At 37.6% G+C, this 21,829-nt stretch overlaps 1 protein-coding gene across 2 annotated transcripts in view; it reads left to right on the top strand.

Moving 5' to 3' along the window:
* Positions 1–21,829, top strand: part of TMC1 (transmembrane channel like 1) — a 316,690-nt gene that overhangs the window by 106,221 nt on the left and 188,640 nt on the right. The window contains exons 4-5 of one of the 2 annotated variants that reach the window (NM_138691.3): positions 93–235; positions 20,769–20,836. The exons of the other annotated variant lie outside the window; for it this stretch is intronic. Coding sequence (NP_619636.2) covers positions 20,821–20,836 — 16 coding nt within the window. The 5' untranslated portion in view covers positions 93–235; positions 20,769–20,820. The remainder of the gene's footprint in view (positions 1–92; positions 236–20,768; positions 20,837–21,829) is intronic. 2 annotated transcript variants of the gene reach the window in all.

Raw genomic sequence — 21,829 nt, forward strand, 5'->3', positions numbered from 1 at the left:
TTTAAAAAACATTCTTTACTCAGATATGAAAGTTGAAAAGGTACTATTATTTTTAAAAATCTGTATTGGATTTTTTTTTTTTCATATTTTAGGATGCCAGAAGCCTCAAAAATGGAAAACCCCCTGTGCTTCACATCTGAAAATCTCTGCTGGGGGCAGCAACTTTGAGCCTGTGGGGAAGGAACTGTCCACGTGGAGTGGTCTGGTGAATGCTTAAGGAGCTGCAGAAGGGAAGGTAGTGAGGAGACAGTTAAATATTGAGCACGTTTTGGTGCCTAGCATTGTACTGGCCTTTCACATGCTATGTTTAATCACGCAGGATTGTATGGAATGGGATTGTACAGAATGAGGCCTGGGTTTGCTAAATCCTGGGGGAGATTGTCTAAGCTGTCACTTGAAGGGAAAACTGTAGCATGTGGGACTTAAAAACAGCTTGGGATGGAGTTTGAGGTAGGGCGAGAGGGAAAAAGATCTTGGCAGATACATTCTGAACAAATACTTGTGTCATCCTCAACTGTATAGTTTTTATGACTTTTCCTGTGTTCATCTGGTTGGCAGATGAATGCAAAATGCCTTTTAGCTTCATGGAAGGCACACATGAATCATGGCTATGTGATAAACAGAAGAAGCCACGTTTCGGAGGGTTTCTGGTGTGTGTACGTGTGCACTTGCATGTGTGTGGGCACACCCTTGTGCCAAATGGACCACCAGTTTAAATCGATTTTCAACAGGGCAGATTTCATATGCTTCTTTAGTGTGGCCCAAGTCAATCTATTTTTAGAAGGGGAAAGTAGAGCATGTTCTGAAAGTTCTTTTCTTCTGCCATCAGGGATTGTAGTACTTTTTATTTATAGTAATTTCAGGTCTCTAAATACTTCAAGCAAAATTAATGAGGCAAACAAAAAAAATTAGGTACCAGATAATTGGATCATGTGTTATTTTATAGAGAGCTTTATTTATCTTGCCTTTGGAAAGTATAATTTGTATTTTTCAAAATTATGATTAGATCTAATTCTTTTTCAAGATTTACTTAAAATAAATATTTCTGCCTAGGCACAAGACTGTGTATAGCACAACTGGCCTTGTATTATTGACTTGATGATGCAAAGAAAAATATATAAGAATCAGTTTTTTTTAAATGTGTTAATATTTATCATAATGGAAATAGTCTTACTAATTAGCAATAACTAGAAAAATGTCTACTATTTATTGAGCCACTACTATATGCCATATTCTTTACCTATGTTCATTTTCTCTTCTATATTCAAAATAATCCTATAAGGTGTGCTTTATGATCACCATTTGTTCCAATAGGGTCTCAAGGACGTTAGGTAATTATTCCTATGACATTGAGCCTATGAATGGCAGAGCTGGGAGTTTGAACCTAAGTCTGATGACTCTGAAGCTTATAGTCTTTCTATAAGCTTCTTCAGTCTGAAGCTGCCCCTCAAAGTCATGGCAATAACTGAGAATAGCATTCAGTTTTACAGCTAGGAAGGTAGTTGTAGTTGTGTTTATTATTCAATACTGTCCATATTCAAAGAACCATTCATTGAGCTTCTATTTTACTCCAGTCACGGTGATAAATAATGCAGAATCTAGAGATCAAAGATAAAATGGCCTTGCCCTCAAGGAACCCATGAGCTAGTTGGGAAAACTAATAGGAATATTAATGATTATAATGCAGAATGTTAGGTGCAATGAGAGAGGTAACAAGGTACTACTGGGGCCTGACAAAGGCCACCGTTTCTGTGTGTGTGTGTGTTTATGTGTGTTTGGGAAAAGGCAAAAGACACTTGAGATAAAGGGAACAACATAGACAAAATCAAAGGCTTGAGAGCATATAACTTATATGAGACATAGCAAATTGTTTGCTTTAACTAGAAAATAGTGGTTATGTGTGGCAGACTATGAGAAATGAGAATGTAAGTCCTTGAGAATGATAACTTTAGAAATTCTACATTTGGGATGATCATAACCTTTTAAAATTGTCTCAATATGATAGATATTTTCCTTCTGTTTTGGGGTATCTGTCTTTTTATTTTTTATTTTTTTGAGGTGGAGTCTCACTCTGTCACCTAGGCTGGAGTGCAATGGCGTGATCTTGGCTCACTGCAACCTTCACCTCCTGGGTTCAAGCAATTCTCCTGCCTCAGCCTCCTGAGTAGCTGGGATTACAGGCGCCTGCCACCATGCCTGGCTATTTTTTGTATTTTTAATAGAGATGGGGTTTCTCCATCTTGGCCAGGCTGGTCTCGAACTCCTGACCTCAGATGATCCACCTGCCTCAGCCTCCCAAAGTGCTGAGATTACAGGCATGAGCTACCACGCCTGGCCTGGGGTGTCCATCTTTTAAAGACACACTGTAAGAATCATAATATTTTCCCAAAGAAGAAATGTAATTAGTACACAATTACATGTTAAAACTAGGTGTTATTGGTAATTAAAATTTAAAAAAATTAACCCAACCAAATAATAAAACTAATGAAAATATTTAATATTGGTAAGAACAAGATGCGATAAGCATATTTGTGTTTTGCTGATTGGTCTATAAAGTGGTTCAAAACTTTTGTAAACTATATATAAGCTATTTTAAATGTTTATGCCCTTTGATTCAATAGCACTAGGTTTGGTACTTTATAATAGGAAAGTTATTAGAAATATTTACTGCAGGGTTTCTTCAATGATGAGTTGTAAGAATCAGCCTAAGTAGCTATGGTACATCACTTTGATGCAACTTAATGTGTCATTAAAAATCATGTTTATGAATAACATTCCAGATGCATTTAATACAATTCTAGCTGAAAAAAAGATACTGAAACATTTTGTGTTTATATATGTCTGCATATGTATCTATATATATCCCTCTCCCTGTCAATCTATAAATTAAAAACTATACATTAAAAACTGCAAATTAAAACTATATACTAAAGAAAGAAACTGGAAAGAAATCCACAGAATGTTAATAATCATGGTCATTGTGTTGAGTGGTAGGACTATGGGTAATTTTTTCTTTCTATTTTTATACATTTTTCACTTTTTTTTTTTTTTTCAATTTGAGGCAGAGTCTCACTCTGTCACCCAGGCTGGAGTGCAGTGGAACGATCTTGGCTTACTGCAGCCTCTGCCTCCGGGTTCAATCAATTATTCTACCTCAGCCTCCAGAGTAGCTGGAATTACAGGTGCACACCATCACGCCCGGCTAATTTTTGTATTTTTGGTAGAGACAGGGTTTCACTATGTTGGTCAGGCTAGTCTCAAAGTCCTCCCAAAGTGCTGGGCCTCCAAAAGTGCTGGGATTTGGCCTCCCAAAATGCTGGGATTACAGGTGTGAGCACCACACCCGGCCCATTTTTCACATTTTTAATGATGTTTTTAACTTTAAAAGTAAAAATTTGTAATTTAAAATTTGTTTAACTTTTACAAATAAAAATTACAAATGCAAATTAAAATTGCTATATATTTTTGTTACTGGACAAGAAAAGATGCATTATAGAGTCTCGTTTTATTTTGTTTTCTGATAAATCTATTGCTGGGGAGCATGTGCGTAATTCGTTTTAAAAATTCTCAGTGTTAACTAGATTTCTTTTGGGATAGCTCTGCTGAACTGGAATGAGATCTTCTTCCCCAGAGCCACTTGCTAGTTTGATTTTCTAGAAAGAGAGAAATTATAGAAAGCTACAATCTACAAATTGCTATGTACTACAGTCTACTAAATAGTATAATACTTTATTTTGCAAACTATATCTCTCAGAGTACAAGGCTCCACAGCTAGTCTTGCACCAAATATATGAGGTTCTTGAATAGTCATTTTCTCAAAGTTCTCATCTCTTTACAAAGCAAGTTGAGGGGGGAAGCAGAGAGAGCACTCTGGTGCTTCCAAAAGCATCAGCCATCCACACTCTGCCTATTGAAAACACCAAATCTGAGCATGTGTGTCATTGTCCAGGAATAAACAATCACAAAAAGGCATCAATGAGGCCTATAAAAACAAGAGCGCATGCAAGAAGATGGGATTGTTATGAAACAGGAGCACAAGGCTACTAAAAGAGGGCAAGCCTAAAGGAAAAGTCACCAGGGTGAGATGGAAATAGATATAGGAAGAATAGTGAACGGTGGCAAGGAAGTAAAGGAATACAAAAGTAATAAAATATCCATTGCATTAGTCCGTCCTTGCATTGCTGTAAAGAAATACCTGAGACTGGATAATTTATAAAGAAAAGGGTTTATTTGGTTTATGGTTCTGCAGGCTGTATGAGAAGCATGGTGCCAGCATCTGCTCCTGGTGAGGCCTCAGGAAGCTTCTATTCATGGAGGAAGGTGAAGGGGGAGCTAGCATATCACATGGTGAGAGATGGAGTGAGAGAGAGAGAGAAAGAGAGAGAGGAGATGCCAGTCTTTTAAATAACCAGATCTTATGTGAACTCAGAGTAAGAACTCACTTATCATGAGGACAGCATCAAGACATTCATGAGGAATCTGACCCCATGACCCAAACACCTCCCACTAGGCCCACCTCCAACATGGGCAGTCACATTTCAACATAAGACTTGGAGAGGACAGAACATCCAAACCATATCACCCACATTGAGGGAGCAAGGAGCAGACTCCATACTGCAGAACACACATGGGAAACAAACTTGAGAAGTTTCCCCAGGGCATAGGGTAAGAGGACGAGGGGCTGGAAAAAGAAAGGTAATGGATATAGAGGACAGAGAATGGAGTTCGAAGATACATCTAAGAACTTTACATATTCCTAAGGAACCCACAAAGATAAAACAAACAGAGCAAGTATGAAAGATGTAATAGAAGCAAATGACCCTGCATTGAAAATGATCAAAGTATGCAGATTGGAAAGGCTCACAAATTCCAATAAAAAGAATTGAAAACAAAAAAAAATGCTGCAATAACATTCTTTAAACTATATTAATTGTAAGGTTTTTACAAAAATAAGTACTCAGGCAGTAGTAAAAAGTTTGCGAATAAAGAAACCAAAATTAAACTCTAACTTTTCTTATGTAATACCAAATTCCAGAACTTGGAAACATATCTGCATGCTTTACCAGGGACCAGATTATGAGGCAGTTATTTAAGATTAGAAAAGTTCTCTTTCATTGGTAAAGGCAACAGAAAGATATATTTTAGAGGTAGAAGCTCTCTAACATAGACACTATTCTGCCAAAAAAAAAAAATAAGATAAATGTAACAAAATAAAATGAGCTTCAAGGTGTATTTTGGTCACTGAGAGATGATTCAAAAGAAGACTTTGAACAATGAGAATGTTAACATTTAAAAGAATAGGTGGAATTTTTCCTTACTCAGTTTGTTCAATAAAATCATGGGTCCACTGTAACCTGATATATCTTGTTGCTTAAAGGGAAAGCTTGGCCCTACCTTTTCTGCTTTCTTCTGTGTTCATGGTGTAGAAAATGTATTTTTGTTAACCAATTATTTACTTCACACTTGAGGTAGACTTTGTTGCCATGTTGGATGGCTATTTTGTTAGGTCAAACAGTTTTCTGCCACATGCCTATGTGATTTTAAATAATGTAGCCCTCACCCTGAGCTTCTGCTATAGGGACCACATGCTTTGTGGTAACCAGGTGCTGCCAAAATTGGATGATAGCAGGCTCCTGACCCATGCCTGTCAAGTCATAGGTGGTTAAGGTCATGGGAGTTGGAGTCAGACTGTCTGGTTCCAAATCCAAGGTCTACCAGTTGATTTTGACCTTAATTTTCTTATTCTGTAAAATGAGTTTATTGATTGTTCCCACTCAGTTCGTTTGAGGTGAGGATTAAATGAGTTAATACCTGTAACTTTTTGACTGGCACAAGACACAATCCTATTACATGTTCTGAAAAAAAATTCTCTACATGAACCAAAGGAATGAATTCTATTTCCTCCACTGCTACTACAACTCAACACTTCTAATCACCAAATGTGTGGAGGTTTTTCTACATCAGTTTGTCAGACACCTACTATGTGTCCTATAATTCAGTTCAGTTCTGACACCATCTACATGGAAACAACATCCGATCCCATGGACTAAAAGCTCAGTCTCATAAGACTGTCTATAATGGCTCAAGTGGGTTCTTCTTGCCTGCTGCACAGAAAAACCAATACATCAAGGCAGTGGTGTTGCAGTAGAGAAAGCATTTGATAATCACAAGGCCAGCCAAGTGGAAGCATGGGAGATAATTCTTAAATCTGCCTCCCCAAGAGCTCAGGGGCTAGGGTTTTTAAGGATAATTTGGCAGACAGGGGACTAGGGAACGAGTGCTGCTGATGAGTTGTGGATGAAATCATAGGAGTATCCAAACTGTCTTCGCATGCTGAGTCAGTTTCTGGGTGGAAGTTTCTGCGTGGGAGTCAATTTCTTGGCATGAGTCACAGGTCCGGGTGGAGTCAGTTAGTTGCCAGAATGCGAAAGTTTAAAAATATCTCAGAGACCAATCTTAGATTTTGACAATAGTGATTTTATCTATAGGAGCAAGAGGGGAAGTTAAAAATCTTGTGACCTCTGGCTACATGATTCTTGAGCAGTAACTATTATAGAAAGGTAAGCTAGGGAACAATGTCTGGTTATCATTTAATTACACCTACATCTTAGCAGAATTTAAGTTCTTCTCATAAGCCCAACCTTGTGGACTTTCATTAGTCTTACAAAGGCAGTTTCAGTCCCCCACCAAGGAGGGCATTAGTTTCAGGTAGGGACTGTTATCATCTTTGTTTTAAAGTTAAAAAAGGCAGTTAGCTTGTGATGTTAGAAGAAAGATGTCAGATTTCTCTCACTGTCATAATTTTTGCAAAGGTGGTTTCATGGCCCCACTTGAAATGAGAATGGGAAGTCCAGGTTTTCACCTGTGCTTTAGACTGGGTGGAGATAAATTAAAGGTTCACAGGACCTCCTCCTCAGATTTGACCATTTGCTAGAATGGTTCACGGAACTCAGAAAAACAGTTTACTTATTTGATTACCAGTTTACTTTAAAAGGAAATTACAACTCAGGAAGAGCCAGATGGAAGAGAGGCATAGGGCAAGGTATGTGGGAAGGAGCATGAAGCTTCCGTGCATTCTTGGGCTCATCACCCTCTCAGCACCTCCATGTGTTCAGCAACCTGGAAGCTCTTCGAAAAATGTTCTTAAGCCAGGTGTGGTGGCTCACACCTGTAATCCCCGCACATTGGGAGGCTGAGGTGGGTGGATCATCTGAGGTCAGCAGTTTAAGACCAGCCTGGCCAATGTGGCGAAACCCCGTCTTTACTAAAAAGAGATTAGCCAGGTGTGGTGGCACATGCCTGTAATCCTAGCTACTTGGGAGACTGAGGCAGGAGAATTGCTTGAACTCAGGAGGCAGAGGTTGCAGTAAGCCAAGATTGTGTCACTGTACTCTGGCCTAGGTGACAGAGCAGGACTCCGTCTCCAAAAAAAAAAAAAGAAAGAAAAGAAAAAGAAAAATGTTCCTTCAGATTTTTATGAGGGCTTCATTGCATATACATGCCCCTCCCTGGAGGTTGGTCTGGAGGTTGGGCTGAAAGTTCCAACTCTAACCACATGGTTGATTTCCATGGCAACAGCCCTGCTTATCATTAGGGACTTCCCAAAAGTCACCTCATTAACACAAACTCTGGTGTGACTGAATAACAAAAGATGCTCCTGTTACCTTTATTGCTCTTAGAAAATTCCAAGGGCTTTAGGGGCTTTGTGCCAAAAACAAACACTATATATATCTTATTATAAATCACACTATCTCACATTATTATTATTTAAAATGATAAGTCAGTCAAGCTCTCTTTTCTTGAGAATTTGATTTGGGAAACTTCGAGAATGAGGCAAGGAGCAGTGGGAATAGGAGTTTAAAGTAAGCATAGAAAGCATAGAAAGAAGCTAGGGAATAGATTAAGGTTGCAAGGAGGGATAACAAATGGAGATTAGGAAATAGTGGAGACTGTGATTAAGCAGAGCCTGTCATTAGGCATTTCTGATATAAACCCAGATGCTGTCATATCACCTCACTGAATGCTTGCCCTGAAACACTTGTTTTAGTGCAGATAAATTCATCACCTAAGGATGGCTTATCCTTTCTATGGCCATTGAACTTAAGAGCTCCACTAAATAGGATAACTCCCTTTATGCTGGGAAATCTACCAAAATTACCTGTGTCAGAAGGGTAAGAAAAGAGAATCCAGGATCCAGAATGGGATTGAAGTGATCTCCCATTCTTTTTGTGATATTTAGACTGCCTTCTGCCTCTCCAATCGACAGAATAAAGACCAAACTTCTACCCGGGTGGGTAGGGCTTATCCTGAGGATGGAGACTTTCTAAGTATAGATGGTCAAGAAACTGGTGCACATTTAAGTTAGACGCATCTCTAAATTGTCTGGGCTTAGACTATTCTAAGAATGAATAATTATGAAAATTGAGGCAGCTCAGAGACTCATTTTCTAAGATTTCAATATATGATTAGCAAAGTGCTATAGAAAAAAATAAAATGGCACAGTTTGGCAGTTGGCATCTTGTATCTTTCTGTCCCAGGTCTTTCTTGTGCTTGTAATTCTTTCATTGATAAAGAACTCAGCTATCTATCCAGGCGTGATGGCTCATGCCTGTTATCTCAGCACTTTGGGAGGCTGAGGCGGGAGGATCACTTGAGGTCAGGAGTTCGAGACCAGCCTGGCCACCATGGTGAAACCCACATGGTGAAACATCTGTACTAAAAATACAAAAGTTAGCTGGGTGTGGTGGTGGGAGCCTGCAGTCTGAGCTACTCAGGAGGCTGAGGCAGGAGAATTCCTCGAACCTGGGACTTGGAGGTTGCAGAGAGCCAAGATTGCGCCACTGCACTCCAGCCTGGGTGACAGAGCAAGACTCCATCTCAAAAAAAAAAAAAAAAAGGATTCAGCAATGTGTGGTTCTTTTGAATCTATGGTATGTATTAGCACATCACAGCAGAGCAGAGGTTCTCAACAATTGATTTTATTCCCCAGGGGACATTTGGCAATGTCTGGAGACAATTTTGGAACTTAGAGGCTGATGCTATTTTGGAACTTAGAGGCTTAGATGCTATTGGTGTTGTGGGCAGATGACAAGAGAGATTGCAAACGTTCTCCAATTCAGAAGGCAGCCTCCACAAAAAGAATTATTCAGTCCAAAGTGTTAATAGTGCTGTTATTGAGAAACCATGCCCTAGAGAAGCAGCCTAGAACTTTGAGTTTTTCCTTTTTTTTTTTTCAATCAACTAATGAGAATAAATGTGGAGGAGACGGGCAAAAATGTCAGCAGCCCCGTATGGTTTTCAAAATCATTTCAGATATTTGCTATTCACCAGTGTCAGCCAATGTGTTTATTTTTGAAAGGTCAGAAATTTCATAGGGCCAGATTACTAAAATGGTTATTATTATTTTTTTGTTTTCAAGAGCTTATGTTAGTTATCTAGTATAGAGAAGTCTACCATAGAGATCCCTTTGTTCTGAGTACTGGACTTTTTCACTTACCAAAACTCTCCTACTCTATACGTTCTTCACCGTGATAATCCAAGAAGTCTGAATCCTCCCCATGGCTCTCCCCTGTTTCCATCCCCAGTCGGTGGGTTTCCCACAGGTCTCCAGTGTGCTTTGGAAGTAGGAACTCCTAACAGATTCACAGTTTGAACATGGTAGTCCTCTGAGCTGTTCAGTATTTTAAATCTCTCTGCAGTTAGTTATAATCATTCAACTCTTTTAGTCATTCTTCTAATGTCAGTATAGATAACTAAAAGATTGTAATATTAGAAGACCTATTTCCCAGAGACCACAAAGACAATCTCATGGAAGTCCCACTGTAGTAAATAGAGTCTATTTTCTACCCAGCATCTGGTAGAGTAATTCAGACATGTGTTTTGACAGTTTGCCTGAAAGTAACTTGACAAATAATTTTACTAAAGAATCCTAGAAAGTCAATGGCAACATTTTGTTCATTCTAAGTTGTTCAAGCCACGTCCTTAGATGTGGTTGATTCAAATTTCTTCAGAACTGGAAAAGCACAAGAGAATTAGTATTCCAGTAATAAGGAATCATGGATTGTGGCAGTCTTTTTAAAACATAAACTAGTTTAGCACATAAGTGGTGGCCTAGTACATTTTAAAGTGGAGTCCAAGGGAAGTTTCTTGAATTGCTGTAGTTCTTATGGTGTTCTGCTGAAGCCGTGTAGATCTTATGGTGTTCTGCTGAAGCCGTGTAGATATTGATCATGCTGCCTCCCACCACCACCCCCTTCATTCCAGATCTGCTCAAAGACAACTTAGAAGGTCCTATCCTGGTCTCCTGTCTGAAACATATACTTTCTCTCCTCCCGCCCCCAGCCTGCCCATACTATTCCAATCCTTCTCTACCTATTATTCCTTTGTTTTGTTTTCAATATAAAAATCTTATCTATTTCTTTATACGTTAATCATCTATCACTCCCCACACACTACAATGTGTGCATTCATTCCCTGAGTAACTGAAACCTAGAGGCCCGGGAGTCATTTTTGAAACTTCCTTTCCTTGGCTTTCTCCTCTAACTGCTCTTCCAATTCATCGGCTGGATTTGACTATTCTAATTCCAAATCTGTCTGGAACTCGTGTACCTCTCGCAGTGTCCACTGCTGTTGTTCTGGTCTGGGGCACAATCGACACTCATGCTCACCGAACTGCAGCAGCCCCCTTCCTGCTGCTTATTTTGACCACACCTCTTTTTGAACCTATTCTGTACAAAGGAGCTGGAAAGAGTCAGTAAAAATACAGAGCATAGTGTTCATTGCCTTGCTTGGACAGGACCTGCCATATGTGTCTTCTCTATAGTATTGGCTGAATGCATAAACAGCGAGAAATAAATGTGTAGAGAGTAAATTGATAGAAAGCTGCCCTCAGTCATCTCCCATGGAGAGGGCTAGTGATGACTGGCGAAGGTCACAGAGCTACTATGTGTTAGATTTTGGACTAAAATCCAGTTTTTCTGAGAACGGTCAAGAGTTTATTTATAGAAAACATGCTGCTTTATCTCTTAATTCCTTCTCACTCCCTGCAAATTAGTGGCATTTTAGTTTACTTAAATGCACAATTATTTTTAATTTTGATTGAAAAATTAATACTCATTTACTTCTGAAAACTATTTCTTTACCGAAGAGCATAGAGAAATAAGGGAGTAATTTATCAACCTACCATAGGTGGAATTTTTACTTTCATCTTTATACTTTCTTCTTCATTATTGTTTTTTTTAAAAAACGTAAGTATGCATTTATTTTTATAATCAGGAAATATGTGAAGTTATATAAATGTGTAATGAATTTCATTACTGGGAACTAACTGCTGGTGATATTTTACACTTGATTTTAGCCAAAAGGCCGAGAAGCGATGCTGGTGATATTCTAATGTACTATAACTTATTCTAATATTTCATGGGATTTATTTGCAATTAGTGTGATATAAATTTCCATAATGTATGGAAAGATATATTAGAAGATGCTAACCATGGGCTTAAGAAAGTAGATTTCATAATTTGAAACACGGCCCACACAATTAATAAATATAAGACATTTGGCACTCTACTTCTAATCTCTTGATTTTTTTTATAGCAACTGTCTTTAAGAACCCCAGCATATTCATGGATTTTTTAGAAACCTAATTATTTCCTAGAAAAATCCTTTGAAAAAGGAAAATTATATTTGACAGTTTTCTAAAGATTTTCTGTGCAGAAGTTGTATCTGGATATACATATAAAGCCCTGAAGTAATCTATACATTTTATCGCTGGTCTTCAGATATGTTGGCAGAGTCGCTCGTGAAATATATGCTTGAAATTAATGTAATTACTCTGACATTTGTTATTTTAATAAGCATTCTTAGCTAATACATAGAGGAATACATTAAAGGAACTCTAACACCAAAATTATCCTTTCTTAATTAAATAAGAAGGACTGCAATTATTTAAAAAGTGTATGTCAAATCTAAGTTGCCTTCAAATGTAATTTAATTTTCTGTTACTTACATTTTAAAATGGCCATAGCTTTTTTCGTTGTTCATCTTTCTTAATTCTTTAGGCACTACTTACCCCCCAACTCCAGCAACCAAAATTAATCCTAATTTGCATCACAATAATTTAAAATAGATCAAAGAACCAATTTCATAGCCTAATTCAAAAGCATCATGCGACCAATATGTAGTATTAATAAAACATATTTCTGGTTTTGCCAATCCAATTTTTTTTTTAATTAAGTGCTTAACACAGTGCCCAGCACAGAAAAAGCACTTGATACATGTTTGGTAATGTCTTTGTGACTGTCATTTTTACTAATGTTGTATATTGGTACTACTAAAGTCTAATGGGATGCTTGTATTATGGTGTGATAATATAGTTAGGATGACCACTTGTCATGGCTGGCCTGTGAGAATCCTGTTTAATATCTATTGTTCCAGTTTTCTCCAACTTAACATTTTAGCACTCAAAAGTATGTGATGTGGAGGATAAATTTTATGGTCGCCAATCCTTTATTGTAAAGAATCGTGATGCAAAGGCTCCAGTGTAGTCATCACTCATCTCTTGATTTAGGCATCTAAGCTATCCAGGCATCATCATGGGGGTGAGCAGCCTGAATGACAGTAAGCTTTCCAAGTATGGGGACATGCACTTAAGATAGGTATAGTTATTCCAGTGCCAATCTCCTCTTACCTGCTGTATGTCAAGAATCAGGCAACATTTAGGAAATGAAACCACAAGTCTTTGTCTCTTTTTTTACCCTTTATCTCAAAATGGTTTTTACTTGGGATTTGTTTTTTTGTTTTTTGTTTTTTGTTTTTTTTTTTGAGACGGAGTGCCGCTCTGTCGCCCAGGCTGGAGTGCAGTGGCGCGACCTCGGCTCACTGCAAGCTCTGCCTCCCAGGTTCACACCATTCTCCTGCCTCACCTCCCGGGTAGCTGGGACTACAGGCGCCCGCCACTACGCCTGGCTAATTTTTTGTATTTTTAGTAGAGACAGGGTTTCACTGTGTTAGCCAGGATGATCTCAATCTCCTGACCTCATGATCCACCCGCCTCGGCCTCCCAAAGTGCTGGGATTACAGGTGTGAGCCACGGTGCCTGGCCTTTAGTTGAGATTTGATTATGAATGAAAATGTAAAGAAATTTGCTAGATGTGTCCATCTTTTCATGTGGCAGACAATATGGACTAGATATATGGTGGTCAAAATTATGTTTGTGGGTATAGCCTAATAGCCTAAACCAATGACACTTATGTGGCAGTTTTATTTATTTATTTTTTCTTTTTAAGACAGGGCCTCACTCTGTTGCCCAGTCTGGAATGCAGTGGTGCAATCTCAGCTCACTGAAACCTCCGCCTCCTGGGTTCAAATGATCCTCCTGCCTAAACCTCCTGAGTAGCTGAGATTACAGGCATGAGCCACCATGCCCAACTAATTTTTGTATTTTTAGTAGAGATGGTGCTTTACCATGTTGGCTAGGCTTGTTTTAACTCCTGACCTCAAGTGATCCACCTGCCTTGGCCTCCCAAAATGCTGGGATAGCAGGCGTGAGCCACTACGCCCAGCCTCACCCTGGACTTTATGACAATGCCAAATATATGCACTGTGTCAAAAACAGTCCTCTTCACTGTCCTCCAGTAGAAAAAGCTCAATAATGGGTCTACAAACTCCTGGATTTAGTCCAGGCTATGTAATTTGTGGAACTTAGTGCCAAAAGTAGGGTCCTTTGTTCAAAAATTATTAAGAATTTCCAGATGGCAACAGTGGAACAGTCAATGAAGCACAGGATCCTTCTGTCCCCAAGGTCCTGAACAACTGCAGAAACCTTGTGCCCGTGCATTCATCCCTCCTTCTTGGATCCTTTACCTGTTGATCTCCTTCGTTTTCTTTCCAGACAACAATTATGGACAACTTATTATTAATATATGTGAGCCACTGTGTTCACTATCGGAAATAAAAATATGCTTATAAGGTAGTCCCAAATCTTTTTTTTTTTTTTTTTTTTTTTTTGAGAGACAGTCTCGCTCTATTGCCCAGGCTGGAGTGCAGTGGTGCGATCTCGGCTCACTGCACTCTCCACCTCCCGGGTTCAAGTGATTCTCCTCCCGCAGCCTCCTGAGTAGCTAGGATTACAGGCGTGAGCCACCACTCCCGGCTAATTTTTTGTATTTTTAGTAGAGACAGGGTTTCATGATAGTGGCCAGGCTGGTTTCGAACTCCTGACCTCATGATCCGCCTGCCTTGGCCTCCCAAGGTGCTGGGATTACAGGAGTGAGCCACTGTGCCTGGCCCCAGATCTTAGATTTTGGTGATTAAGGACTTCACGAAGTAGATGAAATAACACCCAGAATTTGGCTGGTTTATTTTCTCCTTAAGATGCTCAGCTGTGATTTTCTGTATATTAGTCTCAAGCTGCAAATTCTCTATTCCAGGATCTTATGATCTGTGTCCTAACTACATATTATAGGGCCCCAGTGGTCCCTATGCCTCTGGTTCTATTGTCATCACACACTTCCTGTTTCATTCCTATAGACAGATTTATTCATGACTAGGGAACAGATTATGCTAGTAAAGGTGTTGGTTAACATGAGTTTAAGGCAAGAACTTAAACGTAAATATCTCTAGGGATTGGACAGGCAATATGCCTTAAATAGTAAAGCTATCAGGTAGGGATTGACTGCATGCCTGCAGAGGAAACTGCTGCCTATTTAGCCACAGAAGATTATTGCCATGTAAAAATGTGAGTATGGTTTGTCACATATTTTTAAAGAAAAGTCAGAAATCCAAAAATTTGTATGAAATTTTTAAACATTTTATATTGTCAATTCAATTTTTAAAAAGACTCAATATAGGCAGAGAAAAATAACTACAGCCCAAGGTTAAGCCAAGAAGTATTGTTTTTCTACTTTTTCTTCGTAGTCAGATTTGTTCAGATATAATTCAGATGTAATAAATAAACCCTTTAAGTTCTATGAGTTTTAACAAACACCTACATTAGTGTGACAATCACTGTAGACAAGATATAGAATAATTCTCTCGTCTCCCCTCCAAAATTCTCTCAAGCCTCTTTGTGGTTAATTCTCCTAGCTCCTGACAATCGCTAATAAATTTCCTGTCTATAGTTTTGCCTTTTCAAGAGTGTCAAATAAATGGAACACTACTGTATGTAGCCTTTTGAGACAGGCTTCTTTCACTGAGCACAAATAATTTGACTTATTCACGTTGTTATATGTATTTAGATTGTTTCTATCTAATTTTCAAAGGTTTTTTCCTTCCTTTCTTCTCCTTTCCTCCCTCCTTCCTTCCTTTCTTTTTTTCTTCTTCCTCCTTTTATTCTGCCTTTTTTCTCTCCTTCCAACTTTCCCGCTTTTTTAGATATCACATGTACAGAAGTAGATTAATCTTGATGTTTATTTCATAACATACTCTCATTTGGGCCCATGCATGGCTTGTATTTCAATAGCTCTATTGAGATAAAACTCATATACATTCACATGGAGAAACAGCCCTGTGGAGGGAAAGAAATTGATATGCAGTAAACTACACATACTCATTTACAACTTGAAAAGTTTGCCATATGTATACACAATGAAACCATCAACACTTTCAAGGTAATAACATATCTCAGTTTCCTTGTGTCTTTATGTTATTCTTCCCTCCTTCCATCTGATCTGCTTTGTGTCACTGCATTTTCTAGAATTTTATGTAAATTAAATCATATAGCATGTGCTCTTTTTTTTGTCTGGCTTCTTTCATGCAGCACAATTATTTTGCCATTCATATCAGTTTTTGTGTGTATCAATAGTTCATTCTGTATTATTACAAATTAGCATTCAATTACATGAATACATTGCAATTTATTCATTTGTGAATGGACATTGCATTATTTCCAGTTTTGGCTGTGACAAAGATTCATGTGGAAGTCTGTATAGGGACATATGCTTTCATTTCTCTTGGGTAAATGTCTTAGAGTAGAATGCCTAAGTCATATGGTAGATGTATGTTTAACTTTTAAAGAAATTGCCAAATTGTTGTCCAAAGTGTGTACCATTTTACATTCCTGGCAGCAGTGTATGAGAGTTCTAGTTCTTCACCATCCCCCTTCCAACACTTGCTATAGTCAGTCTTGCAATTTTAGCCATTTTAATAAATGTGTAGTGATATCTCACTGTTGTTTTAATTTGCATTTCCCTAGTGTCTAGTTATGTTGTGTCTTTACTTTTGTTTATTTGCTATCATTATCTTCCTTGGTCAAATATCTGTTTAATAATTGATACATTTTTTATTGGACTGTTTGTTTTCTTATTAGTAACTTTGGAGAGTGCTATATATATTCTGGATACAAATCCTTTAACAAATGTATGATTTGCAAATATTTTCTCCCAGTCTGTGATTGTCTTTTCATTCTCCTAGCAGTCTTTTGAAGAGCAGATGCTCTTAATTTTATAAAGTTCACTTTATGTTTTTTTTTATTTTGTGGATTGGACATTTGGTGTTATATCTAAAAAAAAATCTGCCTAACCCATAGCCTTATGTGTTTTCTTCTAGAAGTTTTATAGTTTTAGGTTTTACATTTGGGTCTATGGTCCATTTTGAGTTAATTTTTGTATATGGTATAAGATGCAGATTGAAGATTTTTTTTTAATATGTGGAAAACTGATTGTTCCAGCACTATTTATTGAAAAGACTAATTTCTCCATTAAATTGTCTTTGTACCTTTGTTGTGAATCATTTGCCTATATATGTGTGAGTCTATTTCTGAATTCTCTTTTCTGTTTCAGTGATTCATCTATGTTGATGCCAATGCTACACTGTCCTGATAACTGTAGTTAATAAAGTCTTAAAGTTAGGTAGTAAAAGTCTGCTATTTTCTTCCTTTTCAAGGTTGCATTTTCCTATTCCAAGTAATTTGCATTAATCAAAAAGTACATGGAAAATGTGTATTATAACAAAAGGTATGGAATTTTAAAATTTTCAAAATTCTTTTGCATCAAAGTAAATGTGTACTAACTTGTTATAATATGTGTGAACAGGAGCTAGTTTGAGGCACTAAAAAGGATAAATCATCAATTTAAAAACAGCCCCTATCAGAGCAACATGAATTCTGATAAAATTGAAGCAAGAACAAATATCAAATTTATCGTGAAGCGTGGGTGAAAAAAGGGTGAAATCATTGATGCTTTATGAAAAATTTATGGGGAAAATGTCACATTATCAAACAGATAACTCATTTTAAGAACAGATGATATGATGTTGAAGTCGAAGCCCACAGCAGCAGACCATCCACATTAATTGATAGGAAAAAAATTCATCTTGTTTGTGTCTTAATTGAAGAGCACTGATGATTAACAGCACAAGTAATAGCCACAACCATATACACCTCAACTGGCTCAGCTTACACAATTCTGACTGAAAAATTAAAATTGGCCAAAGTTTCCACTCTATGGGTGCCAAAACCATTGTGCCCAGATCAGCTGCAGGCAAGAGTAGAGCTTTTGACGGAAATTTTAAACAAGTGGGATCAAGGTCCAGAAAGATTTCTTAAAAGAACATTAATAGGAGATGAAACATGGATTATCAGTATGACCCTGAAGCCAAAGCACAATCAAAACAATGGCTACCAAGAGGTGGAAGTGGCCCAGTCAAAATAAGAGCAGACCAGTCAAGAGCAAAGATCATGGCAACAGTTTTTTGGATGTTCAAGGCACTTTTCTTGACTTTCTGGAGGGTCAAAGAACAATAATATCTCTCATTATGGGAGTGTTTTGAGAAAGTCAAAGCGTTAGCAGAAAAACGTCTGGCAAAGCCTCACCACAGAGTCCTTCTCCACCATGACAATGTTCCTGTTCATTGTCACGAAACAAGCTCTCACGAAATAAAGCTCTAATTTTGCAAGAATTTCAATGGGAAATCATTAGGCAGCCACCTTACAGTCTTGATTTGGTTTCTTCTGACTTTTTGTTTTCTAATCTTAAAATAATCTTTAAGGGGCACCCATTTTTCCTTAGTTAATAATGTAAAAAAGACTGCATTGACATAATTCAATTCCCAGGGTCTTCATTTCTTAAGGAATGGACTATTTGGCCGGTATCATTGCTTACAAAAGTGTCTTAAACTTGATGGAGCTTATATTGAGAAATAAAGTTTATATTTTTCATTTTAATCTTTTAATTATATTTTTCCACAAAATTTTTGAAGTCCTCTCACATATATAAATTTTTGGAATCAGCTTATCAAGTCATGTACATTTACTGCTATATCACACTCTGTTTTGTGAATATTCCAAAATTATAGTCTATGATTTATATTGTTGTGACTATTGCATAATTTACATATCAATGTACTGATGATCATATTTTGCAATATTTTTGTTATTGTTATTCTATTATGAACAGTGCTACTAATATAAATAGTATTTGCCACCTCATACACAGGTGCAAGTTTATTGTAATAGTCTTAGTATTAAATTTTCTGAGTCATAGTTTAGCAAAAGCTCAACTTTTCACAGGATATTGCTGGATTGTTCTCCAAAGTAGCTAAGTTATACTCCTATTAGCCGTATATGAGAGATTCTAATCATCTTCATTCTTCAACATTTACTATTTTCAGACTTACTAATTTTGCCAGAAAAAATACATGACAATTCATACCCGTACCTGTAGTGGTCTTGATTTCCATTTACTCAGAAGACATTGGACTTTTCTTCTTATGTTTATGGGCTATATTTTCCCTTCTTTTATGATATTACTGTTCATGTTTTTGCTCATCTTATTGGGTTATGGGCCATTTTATTTTATTTTTATTTTTTATTTATTTATTTTTTTTTGAGATGGAGTCTCGCCCCGTCCTGCAGACTGGAGTGCAGTGGCACTATCTCGACTCACTGCAACCTCCAATGGGCCATTTTATATCCTAACATATGAAGTATCTGTTCAAATCTTTTACCATTTTTTTCCTGTAGGTGTGCTTGTCCTTTTCTTGTTATAATAAAACAGTTCTTTATTTTTGATACTAATCTTTTAGAAAGTGTTCTGTTGGGCTGGGCATGGTGGTTCATGCCTGTAATCCCACTCTGGGAGGCTGAGGTGGGTGGATTACCTGAGGTCAGGAGTTCGAGACCAACCTGGCCAACATGGTGAAACTCCATCTCTACTGAAAATACAAAAATTAGCCCGGTGTGGTGGCGGGTGCCTGTAATCCCAGCTACTCGGGAGGCTGAGGCAGGAAAATTGCTTGAACCCAGGAGGTGGAGGTTGCAGTGAGCTGAGAGCATGCCACTGCACTCTAGCCTGGGTGACAGAGTGAGACTCCATCTCAAAAAAAAAAAAAAAAAAGAGAGAGAAAAGAAAATGCTCTGTCAGTGGCAAATATCTCTTACTTTTTTTTTAGTTTTCTTTGAAACCTCTTTTAATGAATAGAAATTTTTTTATTTTAATGTAGTTTAATTCATCTATTTTTCTTTTTTAATTGTCTTCAGTTTCTTTAGTCTTGTTTTCATAATCTTCTGGATATGAGTCTTGCAAAACATCTTTTGTTAATTTTCTCATGGTTTTTGTTATAATAGTATTTAGAGTTATTTTATATATTTATGGTTAATATAAATCAAATTGCATGTTGTTCTTGCTCTAAATTACAGATTCAATAATTTGCAACAAAACCTTATCTCTTTGTAAGTCCTTAAGTTAATTAAGTACTCTGGATATCTTCACATATAAATACTTGTATCAGCTGTCTTCTCTCTTACTACTCCAATTAAAATCCAGTATCTAGAATAGGGAAAAACCAGGTGAACATCACCCTTACAGAGATTTATTTTAAGACATAATTTAGGGTGTGCTCCATACTGCCTTGGCTATGTACTAGTCTATATATTCTAGAAGGGTCATATATGTGCACAAATTGATTTGTGTAGCCAAAAGCTGCTCCAGTATAAATGTGCCACCAGGATCCATTTCAAAACATTGCTTCCTCTTGCCAAGGTTAGTGCAGCTATGCTTGCTATCACTCAAGTAACCAGAGAATGCCAGCGTCCGTACTCTCAAAAAGACAGCCTTTTCTGCACCATTACAATTGGTGTCTTTTGTCCCTTTCTTTTCACTGATGGAAATCTTTTTTATCATTCCAATCAAAGATCACTACCTTCCTAGGAGAAGTTTCAATAGAAAGAAAAAAATGTTATACTTCCTCAGAAAAATAGCACTTTCTTCATATAGCAAGTTTTACTTTCAGAAAAGTTGAGAAAATAAATACTATGCCCCCAGGTTTCCCGTTATTGGAGATTGATTGCTATGTTGAATGTGCTATAGCTTTGCTGCTTAAACCCAAACGCCAAGTGCAGGAGTATCTTCTTTACTAACGCATTTAATTTACCAAGCACACTTAGTGGCTGGTATTTCTTACCTTTCTAAGGGTGCACTCACTTACACTGCCCTCAATATATGTAATTAGGATAAAACCATAGAATGGAAGGCATTAAAAATGAGGCAGGAAAGCACAGGCAGAGTGGGATGAAGCCAGCTTTGCTCTGAATAGGACTTATATGATCAGTTTAGTTTTATTCCAAACATGAACCCCAAATTCAACCCCTTTGACCTGAGTACTCCGTCCCTTAAATGGCAAACTAAACATTCGTGAAAATTTAATGGTGAGGAAATGAGTACCTTCTTAAGTTTCAGATGGTGAAATGGCACCAGGGGAGCACTTTCAGTGGCAGGCAGAAGTGTGTGGATGTGCTAGATCAAACCTGAAATATTTGTTCCTTCATCCTGCAGTCCCTCTCCAAACTAGCCAGCCACTGAGACCTTCTGACAGGACACCCCCAGGATGTCACCCAAAAAAGGTATTTACAAAATCAAGACTGTCTGTAGGACACTATGTCTTTCTGAGAGGTATAAAGGTATTTGAAAACTTTGGAAAGTTTGTTTTACAATTTTTGTTCCCTCTTTTGGGGCTTTCCCTTTTTCATTTTTTTCTGTGGGTAGTTTCCCTTTGTTTCCTGAGAAATTGAGAAGGGTTTAATATCTCTCCACCTTCTTCTCTTTTATGGATGAATGATTTCACCAACTGGTAAGTGCTAAAACTGACCTCGCTTTCACTCAGAAAGACAATGGAGGAAAGGAAAATGCACTGAGATTTCAGCATAGCAACTCAAATGCGGGCTTTATTCCACAGCAGTGACCTATTGTCAGATTGGTGTGTGAGACAGTTTTTGAAAGGGGATGTGTTCTGCTTCCGTTTATGAGTTAAGCAAAGTTCTAAATTAAGTTGAGAAGAGGAAGCAGGTAAAGTCAGGGATAGCAGAGAAAGGAGACATCAAACCCTATTGTTGTAGGATATTTATGTGAAGGAATGAGCAACGTGATAAAACACATTTTTGCTTGCTGTGACTTGCCATAGGGTGCATTTTCAGTACTGTGTGGATAATGTGTGGCATGTTCATTCATCAGTCATTCTGTGACATTTATGTAGCTTACACTTGGATCTATTTTCAACAACATTTCAGTTCCCTAAAGACAAACTGGCAGAATTTTCAAATAGGAAAAACCTGGACACACACATTTGCTTTTCTGTATAGACTGTCTAGTCCAGATAATCTTGCTATCAGTCATTTTGTTAGCTTACTCATTTAATCTTAGAATGGAAAGTGGAAACAGAGACCTCATTTAGAGATAATCTAGTAAAGCCATCCAGCTTCAGGCTCATATCTTGGGAATCTGAGCAGTACCCTATTTAATATGCTCATTTTATTAACTTTAAACACCTGGAGAACATCATTATTGAGAAGGTCATTGCTTTTGAAAAAACAAAAACAAAACAACCACTTCTTATGAGG

This window comes from Homo sapiens, chromosome 9 (genome assembly GCF_000001405.40).
Source record: "Homo sapiens chromosome 9, GRCh38.p14 Primary Assembly".
Classification (NCBI taxonomy): Eukaryota; Metazoa; Chordata; class Mammalia; order Primates; family Hominidae; genus Homo; species Homo sapiens.